We start from the raw sequence: 26,463 nt of genomic DNA on the forward strand, positions 1-26,463 counted from the left end.
TTATAAACAAAATGCAAAATATTCTAATGTTTCAATGTTCTACATGAACATATAGGGAAGCATAGACAATAGCCAAAAATATGTTCTGCATTCATATACTAGTTCAAGTCCGAGTCTGGCTACTTTCTAGGTAGTGTGCTTTTTGTCAAATTATAAAGATATATTCCATTTGTTTTTTGAAAACGAGTGAGATGCTTAAATAGAGTACAATTATCTCATTCAAAATGTATGTTGTTTCCTCTCGAGAATTGTGAAGGTTCTGAGATTTGATTTTACTCTACTTGCAAGTGAAAAGGCAGCCTTCCTCCATTACATGAATACTGACAGAAGACACAAGACTCTTGGGTCAGAGATAAGGGATGTTATTACTCATGACACAGTGAGCAGTATGAGCATCAGCAAAGTTGTGTCTGTCTCCTTTGCCTCTCAAGTACCAATGGAGCAATGCAATGGAACCAGACAGATGTTACACAAGCAGTGGGTTTGCTTCACAGCTGAGGAATCCAGGACTAAGGGCCCAGAACTTTTTGAGCAAGGATCAAACATTATGCCAAATGGCAAACAAGCAGATTCCCTGTCCACCAGGGAGCACACAGTTACATGGTTGTCATACTCTGGTAGACTTGACCTATTTAGTTGCTTATGTGACTAGCTAGAAAAACTGCTAAGTATCAAGAGACAAATAAGCCTTGAAGTCTGGCGTATTCAGCAATAACATACTGGATGCTAAGAGACCTGGAAGACTGCCTCTCCCGAAAAAAACACTTTGTGGCCCTACATATTCTTAGCTGCACTCAGATTTTCACATCATGTGTAAGGCTACCATCAACATGACTCCAATCAGCAGGATGGCACTAACCTACACTATTTACCTCAACCATGTCTGCCTTCCTCAGGTTTCCAGATTCAGCTACCTGAGCAAATCCTATAAATTTTAAAATATACCTTAAAAAGACACGTAACTTTCTCTTTAAGTCTCGCACTGACCTTTCCTCTTGTCCAAGGGAACTAATCCAGGTACACCAGGGTATATTAGATTCCACGGGTTTCACCTTGGTCTCAAAGACGGATGCATAGGACAATACTGTTCTGCATAAGAGTCTTGCCAGTGAGTTGAGGTGACATAAATGCCTCTGTTTCCATAATGGTGTCATTGATAATTTCACCTAAAATCAGGGACACATTTATTATCACTATTTCTAATTGGATAGTATCAGTTATAAAGATAACCACCCACAGAGTGCACAGAAACATTCAGTCATTTCTTCCTCCTGGAAGCTCCTTGAATAGTGGCCTTTTCCAGAGAGATTTCCACATTGATCTGAGGACTACAGGATTGATTAGTGGCGTTTCATTAAACATTTGAAGGGCTCTTATTACCATTCCTTGGGTACAGGTTACAGCAGGCTTGGGGGGAAGAAAGTTAATGCCTAGCATTCACAGAAATAGTACAATCTTGGTGACACACATAGCACCCTTGGAGGGAAAATGTTAATTACAATAGTCGTTCACCCAATGTGTGACCTACATCAGTCAAGGACACAGGTTGACAATGCCTCTGATGTGGCTTCCTGGCTAGGTTGTAAACCTTAAGGTCTCCAATTCAGCTAAGACTTTGTCTTTGGAGGGATAACCTGAGAACAGCAGTCTGACCTATAATATTTGTCTATACCAACTACCAGGTGGCATTTATCTATCCCATGGGATGATCCACTGATACAAATGGGGATGGAGATGAGAAGACATCTAGAGGTGGTGACAGGTGTTTTACATTGGAGCTACAGGAGCTAGGGTTGCCTCTTAATGTTTCTGATTGACTCCTTGGTAAACTTAGAGACTGGTGATCAAGTCATGGCCACCACCACCTGGTGAAGAGTGGCAGATCTAAGAGTTGTTTAAATTTAAACAGCTTGCTATCCTGTAGGAGAGATGCACTGGGACACTGGGATGTGTTTCTTTGTGAGGAAGGCACCAGGGTGGCTCTGAAAGACAAAAAGATCGTTAGTGTCTCTCCCCACTCTATCCCTCTTGGGTTCTAAGGTGTTTCCTCCCCAGGTGTTGGAGTTGGTGCTCTCTCTGTACTCCCCCAGCATCAGTGTGTCTCATTCTAGTACCCATAAACTCAACTTTTCCTCAATTATAATCTACCTGCACCCAGATCTTGCATCTGGAGTGTCAAATGGAAGAGGGATAAGGGCATTTAAATTTTTTTTTTTTTTTTGAGACATAGTCTTACTCTGTCACACAGGCTGGAGTGCAGTGGAACAATCTCGGTTTATTTCAACCTCTGCCTCCCAGGTTCAGGCAATTCTCCCTGCCTCAGCCTCCTAAGTAGCTGGGACTACAGGCACATGCCACCATGCCTGGCTAATTTTTGTATTTTAGTAGAGATGGCGTTTCACCATGTTGGCTAGGGTGGTCTTGAACTCCTGACCTCAGGTGATCCACCTGCCTCAGCCTCTCAAAGTGCTGGGATTACAGGGGTGAGCCACCACACTCGGCGGGATAAGGGCATTTAAATAAAATGTGTTGAGGTGGATTACACTCTCCTACCTTGCCTCATGTGGGCCTCTATCACAGACTCAGGATCAGTGCACTCAGTTAGTGATCATTATCCTTGTGACCTGAGAACAATAACAACCCAACAAGACAATTCAGGTGGCTGAACAAGAATTAAGTGTTAGTTCCTTAGACCACCTTTGGTCCAGGTTGCCACCTAGTCTGAGTACTTACCAGGCTGGCTTGAGGTTGTTTTTAAGGGCAAAAAATTGCATCATGACCAAAAAATGCATGGTGGCATCCCAAATTTAAAAACTAGACTGATATAACTCTTCAACCATTTTTATTTTGATTATTACCCATGAGACAATCAAGAAAAAAATTAATCTTTTGGAGAAACTGCCATATTCTGTGACCAAATTGCCTTTACTAAAGTGTATGGATCAGGAGAAGGTGAAGGAGGTGGGGTCATGAATCTTTTTCTGTACATTTTTAAAAGACCATGCCAATTCTTAATGACATCAGCATTTAAGAATGAAAAGGGGTATGAAATGTCTGTCAGATACCTTGATTATTGGCCCACTGCTAGGTGACCTTTCTGACAAAAGTTGTATCATTGTCAGATGGAAAAAGGTCTGGAAAGCTAAAAGCATGACACAGTTCAGTTTCATGGGCCACAATGATGTAGCTGGAGTTTGGCTAATCAGCTTGGAATAGTAACAGTTTTCCTGACCCCTCCCCACCCCACGAGCTCATTCCCTCAGATATAATCAGACCTAGACAGCTTTGGGTAGCCCGGTCCAGCAATGAGCACCTTACTGCATAGCAGAGGAAAGGCAAGAGAAGAAACCTGCAACTCCTGGTAAATCAACCAGGTTTTTTCTCCAGATCTCACCAGTCAGATAAGTCAGATAAGGAAAACCACCAATGAGAGGAGGTTTTCCATTAATGCTGAGAGATTAGAATTTTTATTTCATTACGGAGAAAACTGAGAAGAGCAGTGAATGATCTTACCTACAATAGGGCTGTGAAAATGAGTAGGCTGGGTAGTTGGCTAATTAAATGAGATAATCAGGTTAATTACCAAATTGAGAGGTAAAGTGAATTGTCTATAAAAGCAATTATCAGAAGCTCTCATACAAGGCAGAGAATAAGTAACATTGGATTGACAAAGAGTGGTCAGGTTTTCATTTTAGCACCGTCTACCACAGAAAGCCTTGGCTTGAGGTTTTCCTTTATTTACCGGTTTTCTATCATAGGCAGAAAGGTCCATTGTCTGTTTGTGAACTTGAAACAAAAACTTAAAGCAGTCTTGGTCATGTACTCATATAGAGCAATAACATACTTTGCAAAGTGGTATCTTATCCACAATAATTTTTTTGCCTAATACTCAAAAAGCAAACATTGCATAGCTAGTTTATGCAAGTTTTTATACCTGTGTGTGAATATTATAAAGAAATAACATTGTCTATTTTACATATTGTATATGAAATTCTATATCATAGAAAATATTATATATATATATATATGCACACACACATATATACTATCTGGATATACACACATACATGCATGCACAGATTTATTTTATTTACATTTTCCCAAAGTTCAGTTCAGTATCACATATATGGAACAATTATATGTGCAAGGCACTAAATACGGTTCTAACAATGATTAATATTGTTCCTCTCTCTCTTTCTCTCTCTCTCTCTGCCTACTTTTTTAGAGAAAGGATCTCTCTCTGTTTCCCAGGCTGGAGTGCAGTGGCATAATCTCGGCTCACTGAGCCTTGACCTCCTGGGCTCAAGTGATCCTCCCACCTCAGCCTCCACAGTAGCTGGGACTACAACTGTGTGCCACCACGCCTGACTAATTTTTTGTATTTTTTGTGGAGATGGGATTTCACCGTGTTGTCCAGGCTAGTCTTGAACTCTTGGACTCAAGGGATTTGCCTGCCTCAGCCTCCCAAAGTGCTGGGATTACAGGCATGAGCCACGACACCCAGCCACTACTGTTCTCTACAATAAATTCAAGGAATAAGAAAAACAGGCAAGACAAGAACACTTTTGGAAAACATTTCCTACTAGATAAGATATCATAAGGGCCAATTATTGAATCAATTATTGAAAACTAAGAGATCCAATACTTAAAATAATACTATTATAAGACTAGCCAGATCAGTTAATCAAAGTAGAAGAATGAAAAATAAATTTGGCATTTAACTGGCATTTCAAATCTATTTTTATTTAAAAAAATCATTAAGTGGTACCATAACAGTTGGCTTACTATTTGAAAAACTAGTCAAAAATATATCAAATCAAACTACAGATGAATTAAAAAATAAAAATGAAACCAAAATTCATTAGCTAGAAATATAATTGAAGTATTTATCTGAGCTCAATGTGGCTAAGCTATTTCTCAGGCTAGTAAAATTTAAGAAACTGCAATGGCTAAAGACATATCTAAATACATATAACTTTCTTTCCTGGCAAATGATCTCAGACTCATATAAAACTTTGTCAGAATAAAGATATTTTATTTGCCAGTGCTAATGGATGATCCTTTTACTATCCAAAGTTAAATGTTATTTTAGATCACACTGTTGGAATGTCTCTTGCATTCTCTTGTCCAAATGAAAATAGGATGACTAGGTTTGTTCCTGTGTGGGATAAAGCTTGAACAACTTTCTTCACCTTCATATATTTATTACATTTATTGTATGCTTAATATGTACCAAGTACAACTCTGGGAAAATCAGGATGTACACATCCAGAAACTTACGCAGTTATGCAGTAGGGGTGTGGCTTGGGGTTATCTCCTCCCCCATACCTTCTAAATCTTCTGGAATGCATGGCCGGAAGAGGGCTAGGAGACGTGGCATATGTCAAACGACAGGTTATATTAAAATGTGATAGGAGGGTGGTGGCTCAAAACTGGTTCCATATGCTCTTGGAGTCTCTGCCAATGAAATACCTCCTCAGGAAAGATAAGTGTTCTGGGGACAGTTTTCAGCGATTTTTCTGCCTCCGCCTCCCAAGTAGCTGGGACCACAGGTGCGCACCACCATGCCTGGCTAAATTTTTGTTTTTGTATTTTTAGTAGAGTTGGGGTTTCACCATGTTGGCCAGGCTGGTCTCGAACTCCTGACCTTGTGATCCGCCCACCTTGGCCTCCCAAAGTGCTGGGATTACAGGCATGAACCACTGTGCCCGGCCCAATCTATCACTTTCTTAGAGGGGGAAACTTTGTTCCTGTTTGTCCCTATCAATTCATGAGCCCTCACTCCACTATACCATTGTTACTTCCTGTCCTAATCCCATGAGCTCTAGCAAGCCTTTGGTCTCCAGAAACATCTAGTTAAGAAGCAAATTTCAGTGTGTTTTTCAGCCATCTTAGGGAAATGGGATAGAGGAAGACAAATTGTAGGTTTGTAGCAGAGATGGGTGGTATTTTACTTAATTCTGCCACATTTAATACACTAACCTTGGAATATACTAGCAGGGTCTGCTCCCTGTTCTTTCACATTCTCTTTAGAATAAAAGATACTTAAAGCCTCCTGTGTTTCCAGGTCGTTCACCAGTTTTCAATTGTTGGGCAAAGAAAAAAGTCCTGTTCAGCATCCGTTTCTACCAGTGACAACTAAACAAAATTCTTTAAGAGGAAAATGATCTCATTTACCAGAAGTACAAAATAACTTGGAATAACCTTGAAAATAAATGTTTAAGATGCATTTTAAGAGCATTGCAAAAAATAATTGGGTGACATTTATGTATTCCTTTGATAAATGCTTACTGAGTGATTATTGTACAAAAAACTTTGAATACCATTGCCCTGGATGAGAAGAGTCAATATTATAAAGGTAAAACTTGGCTCAGATTTATCTCTAAAATTAATATAATTTTAATCCAAAGCCCAGTAGAACCAAGCAGACACTTATATAATCAAGAAAATTTTGACAGACTGCCTTGTCATGGTGTGTAGGACACAGAATATATCCAACTTTTAGGTGAAAAAGAAGAGTTAGGACAAAAATTATAATATATATACACTTTTAATTTTAAAAGAGTCTTTAAAAAATCTCTAGCTAAGCTTTCCTGATCTACCATTGCTAATTCATGACTTTTCTATTGTGAAAGCTGTAGAATCTTCTGAATTCTGTTGAGAAGACAAATTAGAAACTTTCTCAAGTTGCTTGGAATTTCTTGTAGGACATTGATTTCGTCGTAAAGCAGTGGTTCTGATCTCCAGAGTAACCCCCTTCTTTTAGACTAAAGAATTTTTTTAAAAATCTGGGGAACTTTCTGTTTTTTCATTCATACAGGTGCAGTATAATATTGGGAGTTGATATAGGCTTTTCAAATGTTTGTTTTGATTTATTTTGGCTCTCCTATAACGAGGTTAAAAAATATAAAAACAGTTTATCTATAATTTGCTTTGCTAGGTCATATGTCAAATTGCCTGTGAATAAAGCCGGAAAAAGGGCAGTAAAAGCTTCATTCTAGATATTGTATAAAATAATCGTAAGTAAGATTTATTGAGCACTTTGTGTATATCTTATATAGTATATCTTATATATGTTAGTGTTTTACATTTAGTGTATTCACTAATACAGGCAGTATCCACAGGTAAGTATTGTGATCATTCCTGTTTTTCAAATGCAGAAACTGATGTTAGTAAGGGTAACTCATTAACCCAGGTTACACAGCTAGTTAGTAGCTAGAACTCACTCCTAATCACTATGTTGGATTGCTAAAGAGTTTCATTCATAACTTAGTAGTTAGCAGGGCCGATCACATCTTTTTTTTCTAGTCTACTTGCCCTCTTTAGTAACTAGCTTGCAGTTGTGCTTCATTTTCTGCCAGGCACAGAGATCTTTTCTACATGCAAATTATGGGAAGCTCTGCGAAGCTTCTGTTTGAAGCGTTGCTGATAAGAACCCCCATCCATAATCTCTGCAAGATTATGTTGTTAATGGTACCCTGAGTTCTGCTCCACTTGTTTCTCAAACAAACATTTTCATCATGCATGGAGCCCTGGATCAAAGTGGCCTTTCCATCCTCTGGTTCTTTCTATACTCTATTTAGCAGAAATTACTTCTATTAGAATCCAAAGTTTAATTTTTTTTTCTTTTTCTTATGTTGTTGACTGCTTCAGTGAATTCTGGTAGAACATAGGTTTAGATGGATATGGTAATTTGCCACTTTTCAAGACATTTGTTATTATTTGGGATGTTTTATCATTGGTTTAGCAAAATATGTATTATGTAAATTTGTACTATGTAAAATATGTAATATAAATTATCTTGATACTATCCAGTCAGCTGAATCAAATTTCATATCTAGAGATCAAAATGTGTAACTCTTGTTATGGACCTTATAAATGCAACCTTTGTGCCCTAAGGATACAATGTTAACACTGTGTGAGAGAGAGCTTTAGTTATAGGCCGTGATGATGTCAACTGGCATCTTCCTCACATAGAACAATGCTTTACACTCTTACTGAACCAGAGATAAATGCATTATCCCTTTAATGTTATGTTTCAATATTGGGTTTACATGCCCAGATAAATAGTCACAAGTTGTAGCCTTTAAAAATGTGTATATTCATCAACCAGTTGTGTGGTCCACATATTTGCCACTGACTGGTCAATTGCTACACTTCTCCAACAATGTCTTAAATTCTAGTCTCATCACATTCTCTCCTACCTTGTCATTACTTCCTCAACAGTTCTGTTAATATTATTGCTTAACATACATTTTTAAAGGTTTAATTTTCTTTTTAAAACTAAATTTAGTAACTAATTTTGTTGTTCACCTAACTGTGTGACTTTTGACATAAGGTGACAGCTCTATTCCCAGGGCACATGCAATACTATAAATAACTAGCAAATCTTTTAAATATATAGTGTCTAATATAACGTATAAGTATACAAATATTATAATCCTCAAAGTATGTATCAGGTATAAAATGAAGTATTTTGGCTGGGTGCAGTGGCTTATGCGTGTAATCCTAACACTTTGGGAGGCTGAGGTGGGCAGATCACCTGAGGTCAGGAGTTCGAGACCAGGCTGGCCAACATGGTGAAACCTCGTCTGTACTAAAAATACAAAATTACCCTGGTGTGGTGGCAGGAGCCTGTAATCCCAGCTACTCAGGAGGCTGAGGCAGGAGAATCATTTGAACCTGGGAGGCGGAGTTTGCAGTGAGCCAAGATCGTGCCACTGTGCTCCAGCCTGGGCAACAAGAGCAAGACTCCGTCTCAAAAAAAATAAATAAATAAAACAAAATAAAATAAATGAAGTATGTTAAGGGAGGAAATCTCTCAATATATAAAATTTACAAAAATCATTTTTACTCACCTTTTAATCTTTTTATTTTATAATTATCTCTGTAGAACTGCCTTCACAGGCCTTCAGGTAAAAATTTGTAATCAATGACTTTATATGCATTATTATGAAAGGTGACACCCAGGAACATTTTGTAATCTTTGTTAAGTTCTAAGTTCTAAGAATAAAGTGGTAGAAACAACATTTACTCTAAGACAGGAAATTTAACAGTTAATACTTTTAGAGCCAGAAAGCAATTCTGGAAAAGATTACAACTGTAAGTAGGTAAGACAGTTAAAGCAGGCACCATGATTTGCACAAAAGCAAGGCTTGTGTGTATACGGTATGCTGAAAGTGCAGGAATAGCTGCTCCTATCCCTAGGAGTCAAGCAAATACAACAGTTGAATTGCCTAATTTGTTTGACTTCTTTTCAATATAAACATTTCCTTTAAAGCCATATCTCTATAGAAATTATTTTTTTCTGTATCTTTTTTTTTCTCCTTAAGGAAGAGAGCCTTCTCAACTTCTTCAATATGTGTTTCAACTTTAACTAAATCCTAAAAAGGTAAACATACATGGTTATTAATTCAGGTATAGACAATACTCAGGAATTTAAAAAATCCTCAATGGCTAATTCTATTCCAAAGATCTATATCAATAATTGGTAATAGCAAGCAGGAACTGCATCTTTTGTTCAGTTCTTTTTTATCTCCTCTTTTTTCCTTTTGAATCTGCATTAGACATTAATATTGATTGTGCAGTCAGCTTTCAATGTTGTCCTTTGTAATTTATTTATAGGACTATCACACATGCCCATGTTTACCAGAAAGAATCAATGACTAAATGGATGGAAAATGTATTAATTAACCCAGTATAGAACTTGTGTGTACTTATGCATAGGCATATATGAAGTGCTCATGCATTTTGACTCGTGAGAGAAATGCCCTTCCTGTCTTCCTTGTATATTATATGTTTTCTGTTAATCTATGAGGCCTGCATAAGCAGACTCTTTACTTGTTCCCTGATTCAATTCTTAATATTCATTGCCTCACTGCAGGCCCTTCAGCCATACTGGACAGAATACTGCTGTTCTTACTTACCAAGCCTGTATCCATCTCAGGGTCTTTTCATTTACTGTCCTTTTGCTGAAACCCAGTTCTTCCACATATTTCCATGGTTTTCCTTGTTCCCTTTATTTACGTACCTACTCATCAGGGAAGTGTTTCTTGGCAGCCAGAATATAAATGTGTGTCCCACCATAGTGTTTTAGTATTTTTCAGAGAGCTGATCACTGCCTGCAAGCCAATTATTTGTTTGCTTGCTTACTTTTTTTCTCTTTTCATTAGAATGCAAACTTCATGAGGGTGTTGCTCTGCCTCGCATGTAGTAGATTCGCAAAACTGTGAATGATATAATGAAGAAAACCTTTATTTGAAATTCAGAACATTCTTAAATACAAAGGAGTAAATTACTTAACATGATCAAACAGTTAAAAAATTTTATAAAAGTAGCTGCAGTAAGTGAGTTAAAAATGCCTTACACAATATTATGCAAAAAGAATATTGGTTGTTGGGACTTGATCAAAGTCTTAAAAAAGTTGCTCATTTAAAAATAGCTTCTACACTACAGTTTGGATGTCACTGATTAAAAAGGAAAAAAGCGTCATCATTTGGTTTTTGTTTTTGACCTGTTTTTAACTTTTCCTTTTATGCAACATGCATTTTAGAATGCCTGCTATGTCACGTAGTATAGTATATGAATAAATGAAATCCCAAAGCTGGAGGAGCTCATTTCTATTTGGAAATAAAAGCACATTCACAAATACTTTAAAGGCTTGTGAACTGGTGAAAACAGAAAAGCACTGACAACTGGCCATAATAAAAGTTATACATATGGTGTTTAATACATACAAATAATTATATATTGGTAGGCTCTATCTTTATAAATTCGGACCATAAAATAATGGATAGAAAATTTTTGAATACATCAGCAGATGTCATAGCAAATAACTTTCACCATTAAACTTTCAGTTTATGTAAGCCTTAGGAAAAACTGATTTTCCTGAGGTGATGTTTGCATGTAAGTATTAATAATTATTCTGTACACACATTCTAAAATATGGATGTAAAGTGTATGGATGTAAAGTGTATGGATGTAAAGTGTAGCCCTTCTATCCTTATCGCAATTTCTCATTGGCCTTTACATTAATCATGGATATTAGTTTCATATCTGAAAGATAAAGCCCTGTGAGTAATTTTAAATAGTTTATGACTTTATTTTTCTTCTTCTGGCAAGTCATTTGGCCCTGAGGCATTATATCATATCTATGGCAGTCCTCAGTTGTAAAAATTATTAATGTGAGGAAACAAAAATAACACAATCATTTGAGTGCATTAATTGCATTCAAGATACAATCCTTTTCTTCCCCCTGATAATAAGAACCTATGTTTGGTTTTCTTCCCATTAATTTCATACTTCTTTTGCATTCCAATAATAACCTGTAGTCTGCAGCCTTAATCATGATAAGCAGTCTCAAATCACTTTATTTCATCACAGTGTTGGATAAACACTTCTGATTTAAATTTCAATAATTCTACATTAGCAGTGCTGATAGGAGCCTTCAATGTCTGATGGAAATTCTGCACAGGGATTACTTAGTAATTATTGGTTTCACTGAGGTTTATGTTAGAGCTGGAGTTAGCTTTTTTGCCAGAAATCCAAGCCCCAGAGAGCAAGCTGGGCCAAGTTTGCACAATCACTGCTGTTCACCTATTAGATGTGTCACAAAAAATGAAATTAAAGTCTCTCTAATGAGTGATCAAACTGTTTAAAAACCTCATAGAATTTTAGGATTATGGAAATTTAAAGAAGAGACAGCTCTATTAGGTTATCTAATCAACCTACCTCCCCTCTCTTTCTCTTAAGGGACTGTTCTTTAATGCCATTTTTGATTATTTTGTCTAGTCAACTGAAATGATTTGGTCCATAAGACTTCTATAATTCCCCCAGGATAACTTTCCCTGCTCTAATAGATTTCATTGTTAGGAAGTGCTTCCTAATAACTAAACCTTCCCATTCATCCCCTTTAATTCATGCCATTCTCGTATTTTAACCTTTGTTTTACTGTCCATTAGTTCCTGTACCTTGTATAAAACCCACATCCCAAATAAGTTTTGCCTTTATCCCATTGAGATTTAAAGCATGGTCAATAAAAACGTGTCCAACGATGTCATATTTATTAATCAAATAAGAAATTTTCTTATTTCGTGTCTTGTAGAAACTGATATAATCATTTTTATACTATTATCTCTCTCTCCATGTTCTTATATGAAAATCATGAGCCACACTTGATCATGCAAAGCTATTTGCACCCCCTTTTTGGTGGAAGAAAAGTTAGAATAAATATTCCCTTTATTATGTATTAACTTATATATGATATATGGGTATATATGGTATGATAAAAGTATACTTCATTTCCTGATACTTTTATCATACCATATGTAACCTTGGACTCCTCTAGGTTGTGGGGAATAACATAGCCTTCCTCAATTTCTGAAATTCTTCGAAGTATGGGTCTTGGATTGGAGTTAACATTGAAAATATTTTCCCACTGAAATGGCTAGGGAGGGAAACTAGATACATGTTTTTTTTTATTTTGACACAAACTAGTTGTTTGCATCCTGTCATAGACCAGTGTTGTTCAAAAGAAACATCTACTTCTCCATCTGGAGAACAGAAGAATTGAGACAGCATCATTATTACTTTGTTTTATTTAGCAGTCATTTGCATCAAACATTTTCCTAAGTGTTTTACATGTGATATCTCAGTTATTTCTCAGAATTCCAACTACAGGTATTATTACCTTTTGTCAGATGAAGAAACTGAAGCTTAGAGAGACCCTAGAAAAGTCATACACCTAAAAAAATGTCTGATTCTAAATACTGGTTTTAACCTCACTACTATGCTGCCATTCTATACTTATTTTGAAACTTTAAAAAGAAATTGTAATGACAAGAGTATTCAGTTATTTAAGAAACTATTGTTTTCTTTAATTGGTCTGTGATTACATGCATGGAAGTTTCAAAACATCTGAAAAGCTTCAGTGTGGACAAAGCACAACTGATGCTTTTGACATTTTGTCCATTTTGTTAGAATTCAGCAGCCAGCTAAACATAATAGAAATCCAATAGAGCTTGAGCTGTAGCTGCAAAAGCCTTTTTTTTTTTTTTTTTTTTTTTTTTTTTTTTAATCATCTTGTGAAATTCTACTGCAGGCCATCAGGGATTGCCAGGCAGTCCTTGCAATAGCAAGATAATGAGGCAAGGCCAGAGTGTGTCTATAATCCCAGCTACTCTGAAAGCAGAGGCAGGATTGCTGGAGCCTAAGAGTTCGAGACCAGCCTGAGAGACATAGTGAAACCATGTCTTTGAAAAAGTAAAGAAAAGAAAAAAAGACCATGAGATAACTATTGCACCTCAGCATATAGTGAATGAAAGGTATGACCAGAGGCTGAAATGGGCCCAGAACTTTGTCCTAGTTTCATGGCCAAGCAAATGTTATAAAATGTAAACTTTTAAAAAACTTTTTATTGTTAGGGTTTGCAAACAAACACAAATGTGGAGATGATGTTATAGTAAACTGTCATATACCCATCCTCAGATTCAATCAGTATCAGTGACAAATAATCAATGCTTAATTTTCTTTTTTCTGTTGAATTTTTAAGTTGAACCTTTAGAATCATGACATTTTATTACTAAATACTTCTGTGTTTTTCAAATTAATGATATATTCTTCTCTAAACACAATAACATTTTATTTATTTTTATTTATTTATTTATTTATTTTTGAGATGGAGTCTTGTTTTGTCACCAGGCTGGAGTGCAGTGGCATGATCTCGGCTCACTGCAACCTCTGCCTCCCGGGTTCAAGCTATTCTTCTGCCTCAGCCTCCTGAGTAGCTGGGACTACAGGTGTGCACCACCACGCCCAGCTAATTTTTGTATTTTTAGTAGAGATGGGGTTGCACCCTGTTGGCCAGGATGCTCTCAATCTCTTGACCTCGTGATCTACCCACCTCACCCTCCCAAAGTGCTGGGATTACAGGCAGGAGCCACCACTCCCGGATACAACACTATTATTATATATAACAAACTTAAGTTTAAGTTTAACATGTAATACTGAATTTATATTTAAGTTTTCCAGATTGGCAAAAAAAAAAATCCCTTTATGATGAGTATGTTCAAATTCAGAACAAAACAAGCTGTGTGCTTTGCATTTGTTGTGTTTTTAGAATTATGGAAACATTGCAAAATAGCACAGAGTTGGAAAATACTCTTCCCTCAGCTTCCCCTAGTATTAACATCTTACATAGCCATAGTGCAATAATCAAAACCAAAAAATTAACATTGGTCACAATATTATTAATTAACCTACTGGTGAATTCAAATTCCACCAGTTGTTTTCATTAATTATTTTTTCCTTCTTCTTCCAGGATCCAACCCAGGATCCCTTGTTGCATATACAGCCCACTTTATCTCCCAACGTTATCGAGTTATTGAAGAAACTGAAACAATTGATAGAATTTCTACATTCTGAATTTTTTGTGTTTTCTTACGATGTTAGTCACTATGTATCTTTATCCATTGTATTTCCTGAAAATTAGAAGATAGAACAAATGGTTTGATTTGATTCAGTGTCATCATTTTTAACTAAAATATTTCAAAGGTGATGCTGTGTACTTAATATTGTATCACATCAGGAGACGCAACATCTGCTTGTCCCATTTTAGTGGTGGTTGGAGGTTGAAGGGTGAAGACGCTTGAGGCCAGGTTGTTCAATTGTAAATTTTCCTATCAACTTTTCTCCTGATGGTTTTAGTATTGTGAACAAAAGTTCTCTGAAAAGGGATTTGGAAGACAGAAACTTTCTGTCTTCTAGTGAACAGTTTGCAAACCTGGCAGTTACAGCTTTCAGTGTCTAAATTCCTTTTCAGAGAAGGTTTATTCACAGTATCCATTGATAATCATTGCATGAATCACTTATTTCATTTGAGGTTGCAAAATGATGGTAATTTTCTAATTTTATTGTTTCTCTTAAAATTTATTGTCTAGAATTACTCTGTAAAAGAAAATTTGTCCTTAACAACTAAAGTGATTTAGTTACCCTGAATTTTAATTTCTCCCTTTAATTACCAACTTTTAGAGTAAAGGGTTGGTGCTCTAGCTACCTTCAGCTGAAACAAGAGATTTTATTTTCTCTTTCATTTGGTTTGAGTAATTTGTCTCTGTATCACGTCTATGTTTTTAAGTATCATTATGAGCTCCTGGATATTATACATTCAATATTTCTCTTAATTATACTCATTATTCTTTTCCATGCTCAAATTCCTTGTCTCTTATCAGTACTAGCCCAGTCAAGCTGGCCCTCATGCCCTTTGCACACAATTTCATTAGACATTGACAGTTTTCTTGTTTGTCAGCACAAGTTGTCAGTCTCATCTTGTGCATTTTTTTGCCCCAGATCTGGAATGAGCCAATCCTTCAAAAAGCCCAAATTTCTCTCTTTGTGAAAGAAAGTGAAAATGGTATTAGGAGATCATAGCCTGGATGTGAGAGTCAAGACATAGACACTATTTCTTGAAAGTGCATTATTTTTCATGAGCAGATTACTAGGCAACTATTAGAAAATAATCCACTACGAAGTTTGAAGGTAGGAAATTTTGTTTTGAAAATATTTTCCCTGTATCCCTTCAAAGCCAAGCTATCTACAAATCAGTTTCTGCACAGTAATTGAAACAAGATTCCATTAGTGTATTTTGTACTTTCCTTGGGATGGCTTTCTAATTTAAAGAACAGCCTGCCTCAAAAGCTTGCAGTGACTGAGCAGATATGCTAGCACCAACTTTTCCAAAAAAAGAAAAAGAGAATATGTGATTTTTTTTTTTTTTTTTTTTTTTTGAGATGGAGTCTCACTCTGTCGTCCAGGCTAGAGTTTAGTGGTGCGATCTCCGCTCACCGCAACTTTGCCTCCCTCGTTCAAGCAATTTTCCTTTGTTAGCCTCCTGAGTAGCTGGGTCTACAGACATGTGCCACCACACCTGGCTATTTTTTGTATTTTTAGTAGAGACCAGGTTTCACTATGTGGGCCCAGCTGGTCTCGAACTCCTGACCTCAGATAATCCATTCGCCTTGGCCTCCCAAAATGCTGGGATTACAGGAGTGAGCCACCGCTCCCAGCCTGAATATGTGATTTTTTTTTTTAAATGTGCATCTGTTGACAGCAGAACTACACCAAAGAGTGCAATCATTCTATTTTCTTAATTCTGGACTTAAAGTATGCCAATGTTACTGTTCACTACCTATACAGTATTACACTTGCCAAACTTAATGATGATGTTCTCCACGAAAACATCAGAAACAAGGCAGCAGAGTAACATTTTTCTGACTTCAGTAAATAGTTTTGTAATATATTTTCAGACGTTTACAAATGAACACGAGCAGGTTTGCAAATATCTGAGGTGGAATAAGTCAAATGTACATGATCATGTAAATTTTCTTAATATGTGGGATTGAAACTACAGTACTAAATCTACAGTACTAAAATTCATACTTTCTATTTTTTAACTGTGTGCCTCATAATTATCTTGAACCACTGAGGCATTTCTGCAGCTCTAACTGACCTAGGATGACATTTACAAATGGTCTGTTCAGTTTCTCTAATTGACCAAATGAAATAGTACTGTGGCAAACACTAGAATTGGATCCATAAAAATCTATCCATTCATTTTTACAAATAAAATAGTTTTCTTTCCACTTGTCATTCCTTCATTGACATGATGAACTCAGTTTAGTTAATGTAGTTGGCACTTTATGTAGCAGTTTCTGAGCATTTTGCTGTGCTAATGAATACTATGTTTGAATTGCAGTAAACATACCTATTTGATTACAGGAGTAAAGTTTTCATTCCTCCAAGTAAATGAAACATTAATTAATATGCTAATTAGATATTTTTAAATATATAATTTTAAATTGCTCAAATTATTAAAATAGAATATATTTTCTAAAAGTACCAGCAGTTGAATTCACAGTATACCAAAAATAGTTGAATAAAATAATCTGATATAGTAGACAGAAATAATTTGTGGTACTATAATTCTAAATGCTTTTAGCTGACTAAGTAATAGTGTAATATTTGTTAAATTTGGCATTGGATATAATATGAAACCATTAATATAAGTATATAATTACTATGTATTAATCATATGTAATTAATATATAGCATTAATATGTTTCTTATGCATATGAATATAATATTAAAATCTGATATTTTTATAACATGAAGGATATTCTTTTTATGAAGAGTACATGTTTGAAGTACATTGTTTGACTACTGGGAACCGAAACAGATGTTTCTAATAATTTACATTGCCAAATAATATTGATATGGTACTAATAAAAAGTATGGTACATACAATCATGCATATGCAACATTGAGTTAACTTTTAATCCTTTATTACTGCACAATGAATGGAATTATATGAATAATAATCAAAAGGACAAAAGGCAATGATAAAATAAAGAATAGTTGATGTTTTGATAGAGAATTAGAAGGGCAGAAGGAGATGGAAAAGAGAGAGAGAGAGAAAGAAAAAGAGGCCAGGGTAAAGTAAAGAGAATTGCAGTACCGTAGAAACTTTCCACATTCTTTTTTTTTTTTTTTACATCGAGTCAATGACTAAAGTCCAGCAATAATCACGGTTTGATTTATTCAGTTTTTTATCTCTTCAACCAGCAGGTATTTAGAGCATCTACCATGTGGTAAGCACATAGATCCCAATGCCTACATCTCTCAAATGTAAACTCCTTCTCTGCTCTCACTGCCTTCACTGACTCTTGAATATATCAATTCCTTGTTTTTTATTCCCCTTTTCAATATAATGTATATCTGCATTACAAACTCACTTCATATATTGCCTCCTCTTAAGTGGTGTCCCCAATCTTACTCAGCCCAATTTAAATTAGTTTCCTGTTATCACAATATTTATACATATACATCTTAGTTTATTTATATTGCTTTTTTGTAAGGTGTTTATATTTTTGTCTTCTATAGAAGACTGTGATGTCCATGGAGTCAGGGGGTTTGTGTCATTTATTCGTCTTTGATCTTATGACTTTTTAGTGTTTAGCATAAAGGAAGTACTCATCATATAATTGTTGAATAAATAAATTAATGAATGAAGAGCTACAACTTCCTTGAAGTAAAACTTATTGGTGTATAGAGTTTTGTTTGTTCCCTTTGCAATGAGAAATTGAGAAAATTATATTTGGCTTTAAATTACCCTATACTTAGGCCTGATGTAGTGTGGCTCACACCTGTAATCCTAGCACTTTGGAAGGCCGAGGTGGATGGATTGCTTGAGCTCAGGAGTTGGAGACCAGCCTGAGCAACATGGTGAAACCACATCTCTACAAAAAATACAAAAATCAGCCGGGCATAGTGGCATACACCTGTAGTCCCAGCTACTTGGTGGGCTGAGGCGGGGAGGATCACTTGAGCCTGGGAGGTCATGGGTGCAGTAAGCTGTGATCGCGCCACTGCACTCCAGTCTGGATGACAGAGTGAGATCTCATCTCAAGAAAAATAAAATAGAAATAAAAAATTACCCTATACTTGAGAATATATTACTGTCATATTATTTTTATTAATATTTATTCTTGATATATTCACACCAGTCTCCTTAAATATTAAACATCAGCTTTTCATTTTAACAACGGTTTGGGTGCCTAAAATATGTCAGACATATGTAAATCCCCCTGCACCAAATTTGTGTTTTAAAAGTGATTTTAAAGTCAAGGATTTATTGAGGTTCTACCACTGAAATAAAACTAGTGAGTAATCTATAAAAAACTTAAGATATACCTGTTATTTGCAATGGTATTTCTTGTATTGAGAAACATATAAATGTATTTTATAAACAGGAAAACAAACAGTGTTTATTTTTTAATTATGTAATACAAACCATTGTCGTGTATGGAAATCAGGAAGCAGAATCCAGCCAGAAGAAAAGAATGTTGCAGAAACCGCATGAATAGTTGTGTAACTAGAAGATGGCTTATATAAAAAAACACATTAATAACTTACCTTGCAGGGGTGCAGGCCAAAGCAACTACTGTGCACTAATGACTGCAGTGGGGTCTTCTCAAAAGTAATGCAGTGAAGCATGTGTGAATCCTCTTTATGGGAAAATATTATGTGGATGATTTGGTGTTGCAGTCCTGCGCAATCCGTTTTGAGTATTTCTCTTAAGATAAATACTTGCTTATTTACTTGATGTCTCTCCCCTTCCTTTTTAATAGTCTGTGCCTTGTTTATAACTTTTGTTTTCTTTAATACATTCAAGGTACTTTCTGGCTTCCCTTTTGGGCATGCTAATAGGCAGATCTCTTGGCCTGGAACAGTCTTCCTCCCAACTTACCCTTTTCCTGTCATCCTTCTGTGTTTTTCCTACCTTTGGAAGCCTTCTCACTCTTCTTGACCTCATGCTCAGGGTGAATGCCCAGCTTTGTCTTCCAAAAGTGCCTGTGATGGAATTATCAAACTTTGCTGAAGTGTTGTATTTAAAAATCTATTCATTGCTAGTTTCTTAGGTCCACGAGTGGGAATCTAACCTGTTTTGCTTACCAATTTATCTTCAGTGCCTAGTACAATATTCAATATCTAATGTATGAGTGAATGTTAATGATGTAACTGAAATATTAGGAGAAATATTGTGTAGCAAGTAGCAATTTCAAAGATCTAGTCACAGTAATGAAGGTTCAGGACCCCAAGAACTCATGAAATTATTTATTTATTTATTTATTTATTTATTTATTTATTTATTTATTATTTTTTGAGACAAGGTCTTGCTCTGTTGCCCAGACTGGAGTGCAATGGCATGATTACAGCTTACTGCAGCCTTGACCTCCCAGACTTAAAGTGATCTTCCCACCTCAGCATCCCAAATACCGGGGACCACAGGCATGCGCCACCACACCCAGCTAATTTTTTTTAACTTTTGTAGAGAATGAGGTCTCACTATGTTGCCCAGGCTGGTCTCAAACTATGGGGCTTCGGTGATCCTCCCACCTCGGCTTCCCAAAGTGCTGGGATTACAGTCATGAGCCACTGCACCTGTTTTTTTTTTTTTTTTAATTATTAATGTTAACCTATTACAAACAAGCTTAATCATGCAATCACATTCCACCCAGGATACAGGGCTGTGATAGAAGTGTTAATAGTCAAAAGATTAGTGGTAGAATTACCTAATATAAACTCACAATTCATTCTATTGAAACAAATCCTTGATAATACTTCTCTCCCATTTATTGGTCTTATAGAGTAAATATTTCCCATATTTAACTTAGAGGGAAGAATAACAGAAATTGATTGAGGCTCTGACTAACTTACCTATGGCATCCTTTGTCGTTTGGTTTCAAGATTCATGAATTGTTTATTGAGGGCCAGCTATGTACGAGACTAATCATTAGAAGGGGCACAGATGAATAAGAAATAGTCTGCCCAATGGGATATGTGAAAATGTTTATAAAGAGTGGTTCAGAATACACAGCAGTTTGGCTAACAACAGCTTTTCATTCTGAAATGTTAACCTTGGCATCTGGAAATTTTCAAATACTTATAAACTGTTTAAAGAATTTCAGACCCTTATGTTGTTTTCCTGTTACTTGTATAAAATGGAATTTCTTGAAGACACTAGTCATTTGCAGTGTTGGTTAATGAAGTTGTGGTAATTTAACTTAATGTTGGAAAGGCCATTACTATTTTCACATATATAATTTACTAAAAATTGTCATTAAAATAAGCTTTGCAGACATAAAGTTAAAACTCGTTTTATATGGAGCTAGAAATAAATACATGCAGCTACTTTTGCACTGTTGTTTCTCTTTGACATGAGCACCTTGAGGATCGGGGTTGTCCCGCCATGAGATATGATGAATGTTAGCAAGACTCCTTGTTACAAAATACCCCACAATGAATTCAGAGAGCACCAATTTTGTTACACATGTTTAGATCAGACATTTTATTTTTATAAATGAACCTATCTGTTTGTGCACGTGTGTGGATGTGTGTGGATGTCAGGGGCGGGGTGATATTTTCTGCAATTTCATTTTAATGTAAAGCAGGTACACTTCATTTATCAGAATTTTGGACTTACTAAGTGTGTATAATTTGTATTTCGTGTTCAAAACAGCATATGTGATTTGGGGACCTCTAGGCATCTTAGACAGTTTCATTTTTCAGAGCAGGTCAGAGTGTGTGTGTCTCTGTTTAGCTGAGCGTCCAAGATCCTTGTTTCGTTTTCTGATTGGTATATCCTGTTCTTGGAGATGACAACCTTTTGCCGAATTGTATCCTTCTCCCAGCTTAATAAGTCTGTTTTTATTTTGCTTGAATTTTTTTCCATTCTGATAGTTTAAAATAAGCATATCTTTTAATTGACTTATATCTTTTTTGATTTGCTGAGAAAATCTGACTCCTAAAGGCAAAGCGCTCTAGGCATAGACTTTTCTTTAGCTTTTTACTTTCTTGGCTTCACTAATCTTTGGGGTGTTTTTCTATTTTATTCAAAAAGAACCTCTTTTTAAAAGAACCTCTCATTCCTTTTCACTTGTATGTTGATAAAATCTATTATCGTCCTGTGACTTAATGCTCTAAACCCAGAAATTTCCCCTAAGGCCTTTCAAAGGTGATATTTTTCCTAAATCAGTTTAACAGATGTTCTGCTTAACATCCTGCCTTATGTTAATGAGACTGTTTCTGCTTGGCAAGTAGGAAGAGACAGGGACCCTTTCTAGTAATAACTGCTGCTTGAAACACAATTTACAACAGACTCTAAACCTCTGGAAGCCTCTCAATCTAGTGACATTTGGAAGACTCAGGAGGAAAGGAAGGTGTAAACAATTCAAATACAGGCTATATAGGTGCTTTCTATAAATGTTCAAGAAATTATTATTTTTTGGCATGTGCATTTAAGGTTTTATTTTTAACCAGGCTTTTACTATGTTAGCCATATTCACTGTAATATATTCTAATCAAGTGCATCTTAATAGAAATTAATAAATATAAACACGTCTTAGTCATAGAGTACCTTATTAGCATTATAAGCAATTTTGTTCTTCAATGTAACTTAACAATTCTAATGATCAAATTCTGGAAAGAACAGTATATTTTCTGTAAATAACTTAGATTTTAGAAAATATAAACAGATACCGTCAGATGTTTATTCTTGTGTTAGATGAAAGAACACATAATTTTTGACTTCTATACTTCATTATCTTCATATGAATTCTTTTCACATTAAATGGGTGGCAAGGTTGATATCCGCATTGTAGTTATGCTAAAACTAAGTCTTAGAAGACATTTATACTGTAATGACTCAGTTCTGAAGAATTACTACTACTTACCTATTATTGTCAACATTTAAAAATTATAAAGCATGGTTTTTACATTACTGCATGGGTAGGTTTCACTGATGAGAGCCATCATATGAAAACCACACGAACCTGAACTTTGTAAAAGCTATCCAAGTGTTTTAAACAGATATTAAAAGCTTTAGATATCCTACTGGGGCTCCCAGTGATTGCAGTCCTGCCCACCTCCCACATGCAAGGGCCATCAGGGAAGGGAAGCGTGGAAGTTCCCATGTTCTGGGAGTGGGGAAGGTTGAGTTAGAAGCATCAGTATGATCAGGATCATCAGTTTACTGAATGGAGCACAAGTGTTGGAATTTTTGGGTGGTGCTTTGTCGAGACTGGTCAAGAGATTTGAAATAATCATTGTATTGCATGCCTTTGGGTTTGAGAGATGTCCATATGACCTGGCAATGAGAACAATAACTAGACTCTTAGCTCAGACCAAACTGGGCTGTTCTAGTCCAATGTGAAGCACAAGTTTGGGCATCTCCTCAGTTCCCAAACTGCTCCCTTGAATGCTATTCCCTTTGGCAGGGGTGATAAATCTCTTTTAAACTAATTATCTCTTCTCTCCATGCCTTTGGGTATGTAAAGTCTTGTATCTTTTCAAAATAAAGAACTTTTGCTCTATATTGCTAAATAGGAAGATTTAGGGGTAAAATATTTAGTTTGAGTTTTTCAAACAAAATACAGTGAAAAATAGAACTTATTTAACCAATTAAGTATATCAAAAATATATTATGCCAGGTATGTGCTCTTATGGTATATAACTGATTTTATATAATGTTTACATCTGAAGTTAAAAACTTAATAAACACTTAATAATGACTATATCTGCTGTACCATCTTGATTGTGTGACTTTCCTCTGTGGCCTGGTAAAGTGGAGGTTAAAAATATCTGTGGGACCTCAGAATGGGTATACTAAGGGACTGAAACTCAAATATTATTTATTTATGTATAACTGATATTGTAGGTTCAGGGGTACATGCACAGGTTTGTTATACAGGCAATTAGCATGTCATAGGGGTTTAGTGCACAGATTATTTTGTCACCCAGATAATGAGCGTAGTACCCAATAGGTAGTTTTTCAATTCTCACCCTCCTCCCAGCCGCTACCCTCAAGTAGGCCCTGGTGTCTATTGTTTCCTTCTTTATTTTCATATGTACTCAGTGTTTCACTCCCACATATAAGTGAGAACATGTAATATTTGGTTTTCTGTTCCTGCGTTAGTTTGCTTAGGATAATGTCTTCCAGCTCCATCCATATTGCTGCAAAGAACACGACCTTGTTCTTTCTTATAGCTGTGTAGTATTCCATGATGTATATGTATCACACTTTTAAAATCCAGTCAACCAGTGATTAGCATTTAGGTTGATTCCATTTCTTTGCTATTGTGAATAGTGCTGCAATGAACATATGTGTGCATGTGTCATTATGGTTGAATGATTTATATTCTTTTGGGTATATACCCAGTAAAGGGATGGCTAGGTCATACGGTAATTTTAAGTTTTTTGAGGAATTGCCATGCTGATTTTCAGTGTATAAGTGTTCCCTTTGCTCTGCAACCTCACTAGCCTCTATTTTTGACAGTTTATTAATCAATAAGAAATACTAATAATAACATTCTTATTATCAATTAATAATAGCCATTCTGATTGGTGTGAGATGGTATCTTATTGTGGTTTTGATTTTTATTTTTCTAATGATTAGTGATGTTGAGCACTTTTTATATGCTTGTTGGTGACAGATATATCTTCTTTGGAAAAGTCCCAAATATTATTTATAAATGATAGTAGAGAAGGAGACAGATGGCTGTTTCCTTCACATATTCTAGTAGCAACCTCTAATTAAAATGAGGTAACTCAGAATATAAGTAAACCTGTACAGAAAGTTCATCTGGAAAACCTTGAATTACGTTATAAAAAGTGAAAATAGATAAGGCCAGGATAAATACAGGAAATTCCTCCTCTGTACCTCAGTTTCCCTCTTTGATATAAGCTAGTGTTTTAAATTATGTTTCCTCAGGCTTCTCCAACTCAAATTAGTCTGGATTTTTAAATTGCACTATTCAGGCAATAAGGTTATTCACTTACAAAAGACATAATTTTTATTTCATCAGATCTGAATAAAGTACAGTTTCTTTGCCTGTTTTGTTCTCATATTCCTGAAAAAGTAGCATTGAATTATGGCTATATTCCAGCAGATTCTTGTTGATTATAGGAAAGTTAATGCCTTTTATTAAAACTGTATTTTAAAATCATCAAAACACTATAAGATTATTATACCTGTTTTTCCAGAAAAGAGCCTCGGAAAAAACAATTGCATTAAGATGCGCTTCGTGTGTTTCAAACTTAATGTATTTAATCTTGATTAGTTGGCTGAGACCCAGCCAGTGCTCTGTCAGCAGATCAGGAGTAAAATAAAGAGGCTATAATTAATGAAATTAATGCCAGATATAGAAACTTGAGACTTGAGGTGACACTTTGGTCATAACATTTCCTTTGAACTTGGCAGAATGGAGAGACAGCTTAGTTGGAAGTAATTGTTCTTAGTTTAATGGCACATGATTAGATGAGAATGATTATTTTTCTCATTCTACTGGCTGCTAAGACTGTTGGCAGGGATGACTCTACAAAACTGTCAGACAAATTTGATCAAGAAGTTCAGAAAATGAAAGGACATGATTTAATTTACTATTTTTATCTTTCCTTTCTTACAAGAAGTACAAGTAAAATTTCAGAGTATGTCCATCTTCATCATTGCAACAATAAGAAATTGTTCCTAGCCAGCCTTCCTCACCTTCTAAATCCAATTAGTTGTCAAGTCCTGTTAAATTTCCCTTCTAAATATCTTTTTGATCTATCTCTGCAGTCACTTGTTTGGCCATTGTCTTTTACTACAGCTTCTCAATTGGTTTACTTGTTCAGTCTTGACCTCATCAGATATTTTCTCCAATGGACAGTCAAAGTGATCTCTGCAAAACACAGTCTCATAAGACTGTGTCACAGCCTTTGATAAAGCACAACAGTTACCCCTTACTGAATGGATTAGCATTTTTTTCAGGTGATAAGTACAGTTTCCCTTCAATATACAACACCAAATACTCCTTATCTGATGGAGGTTTGTCATCATTCAAAAGAAATGGAAAAGTCTGTTTTACTCTAAAAATAGTTTTGTATAAGACTCCATTTCATAAGATTAAATCTTTAAATATTAATAATTACGGTAGTAATAATAGTCAATATTTATTGAGTACCCCTTGAAAGAGAAGAAGGGCGATTATGAGGAACAGTTTTAAGGTTAGGATAATTGCCAGGTCTGTCAAAGACTGTTGTCAGTACTAGCTGTAGCATGGGGTGGGGGAGATGATACCAGGTTAAGGACAGTGTCCAATGGGCCACATGTATGGATGAGATGTGTCATTGAGGGAAAACAGGCAATGTCTATAAAAGGTGTGCAGAATGTGTATTCTGCTCTCAGTGTTCATAAATATTTATTAAGAACAGAAAATTTATGCAACGATACCACCAAGGTACTGGCAAATATTTTTAACTGTACATGCAGTCTAGGTCAGGGAACATTGCTTTGATTACATGTTACAGCACTTTGCAGGAGCACATCTAGGTGGGGATGTATCTTAGTCCATTTGTGTTACTATAAAAGAATACCCAAAGCTAGGTACATTATAAATAAAATAAGTTTATTTGGCTCATGGTTCTGCAGGTTGTACAAGAAGCATTTGCTTCTGGTGAGGACTCAGGCTGCTTCCCAGTCATGGCGGAAGGTGAAGGGGAACCAGTGTGTGCAGAAAACACAGAGATCATGTGGTGACAAAGGAAGCAAGAGAGAGAGGGAAGGAGGTGCCAGGCTCTTTGTACCAGCTGTCTTTAGAATTAACAGAGTGAGAACTTACCACCAATACATTCATGGAGAATGCATTGCACCAAGACATTCATGAGCGATCTGCCCCCATGCATCTAGACACCTCCCACCGGGCCCCATCTCCAACATTATGGGTCAAATTTCAGGAAGATATTTGAAGGGTTCAAGTGTCCAAACCATAGGAATGGGTTTCAATTTAATTAAAAAAAAGTATGAAATCAAATGTATGAAAATGGAAAGGACTTGTGATAGTGAGAGTCCCTGAAGCTTAATCTTCACAAGTA

At 35.9% G+C, this 26,463-nt stretch overlaps 1 protein-coding gene across 2 annotated transcripts in view, besides 1 other annotated feature; it reads left to right on the forward strand.

The window, feature by feature from the left end:
- The window catches only part of KCNJ3 (potassium inwardly rectifying channel subfamily J member 3), a 159,660-nt gene that overhangs the window by 107,183 nt on the left and 26,014 nt on the right, over window positions 1–26,463 (forward strand). The window lies entirely within an intron of this gene.
- Window positions 1,652–2,153: an enhancer, noted in NCBI's record as "NANOG hESC enhancer chr2:155664041-155664542 (GRCh37/hg19 assembly coordinates)". NCBI's record gives its function as "activates a minimal SCP1, AML or CMV promoter by ChIP-STARR-seq in naive H9 embryonic stem cells {active_cell/tissue: H9 hESC(naive)}" and the evidence as "EXISTENCE:reporter gene assay evidence [ECO:0000049][PMID:30033119]".

Source organism: Homo sapiens, chromosome 2, assembly GCF_000001405.40.
Source record: "Homo sapiens chromosome 2, GRCh38.p14 Primary Assembly".
NCBI classification, from domain to species: domain Eukaryota; kingdom Metazoa; phylum Chordata; class Mammalia; order Primates; family Hominidae; genus Homo; species Homo sapiens.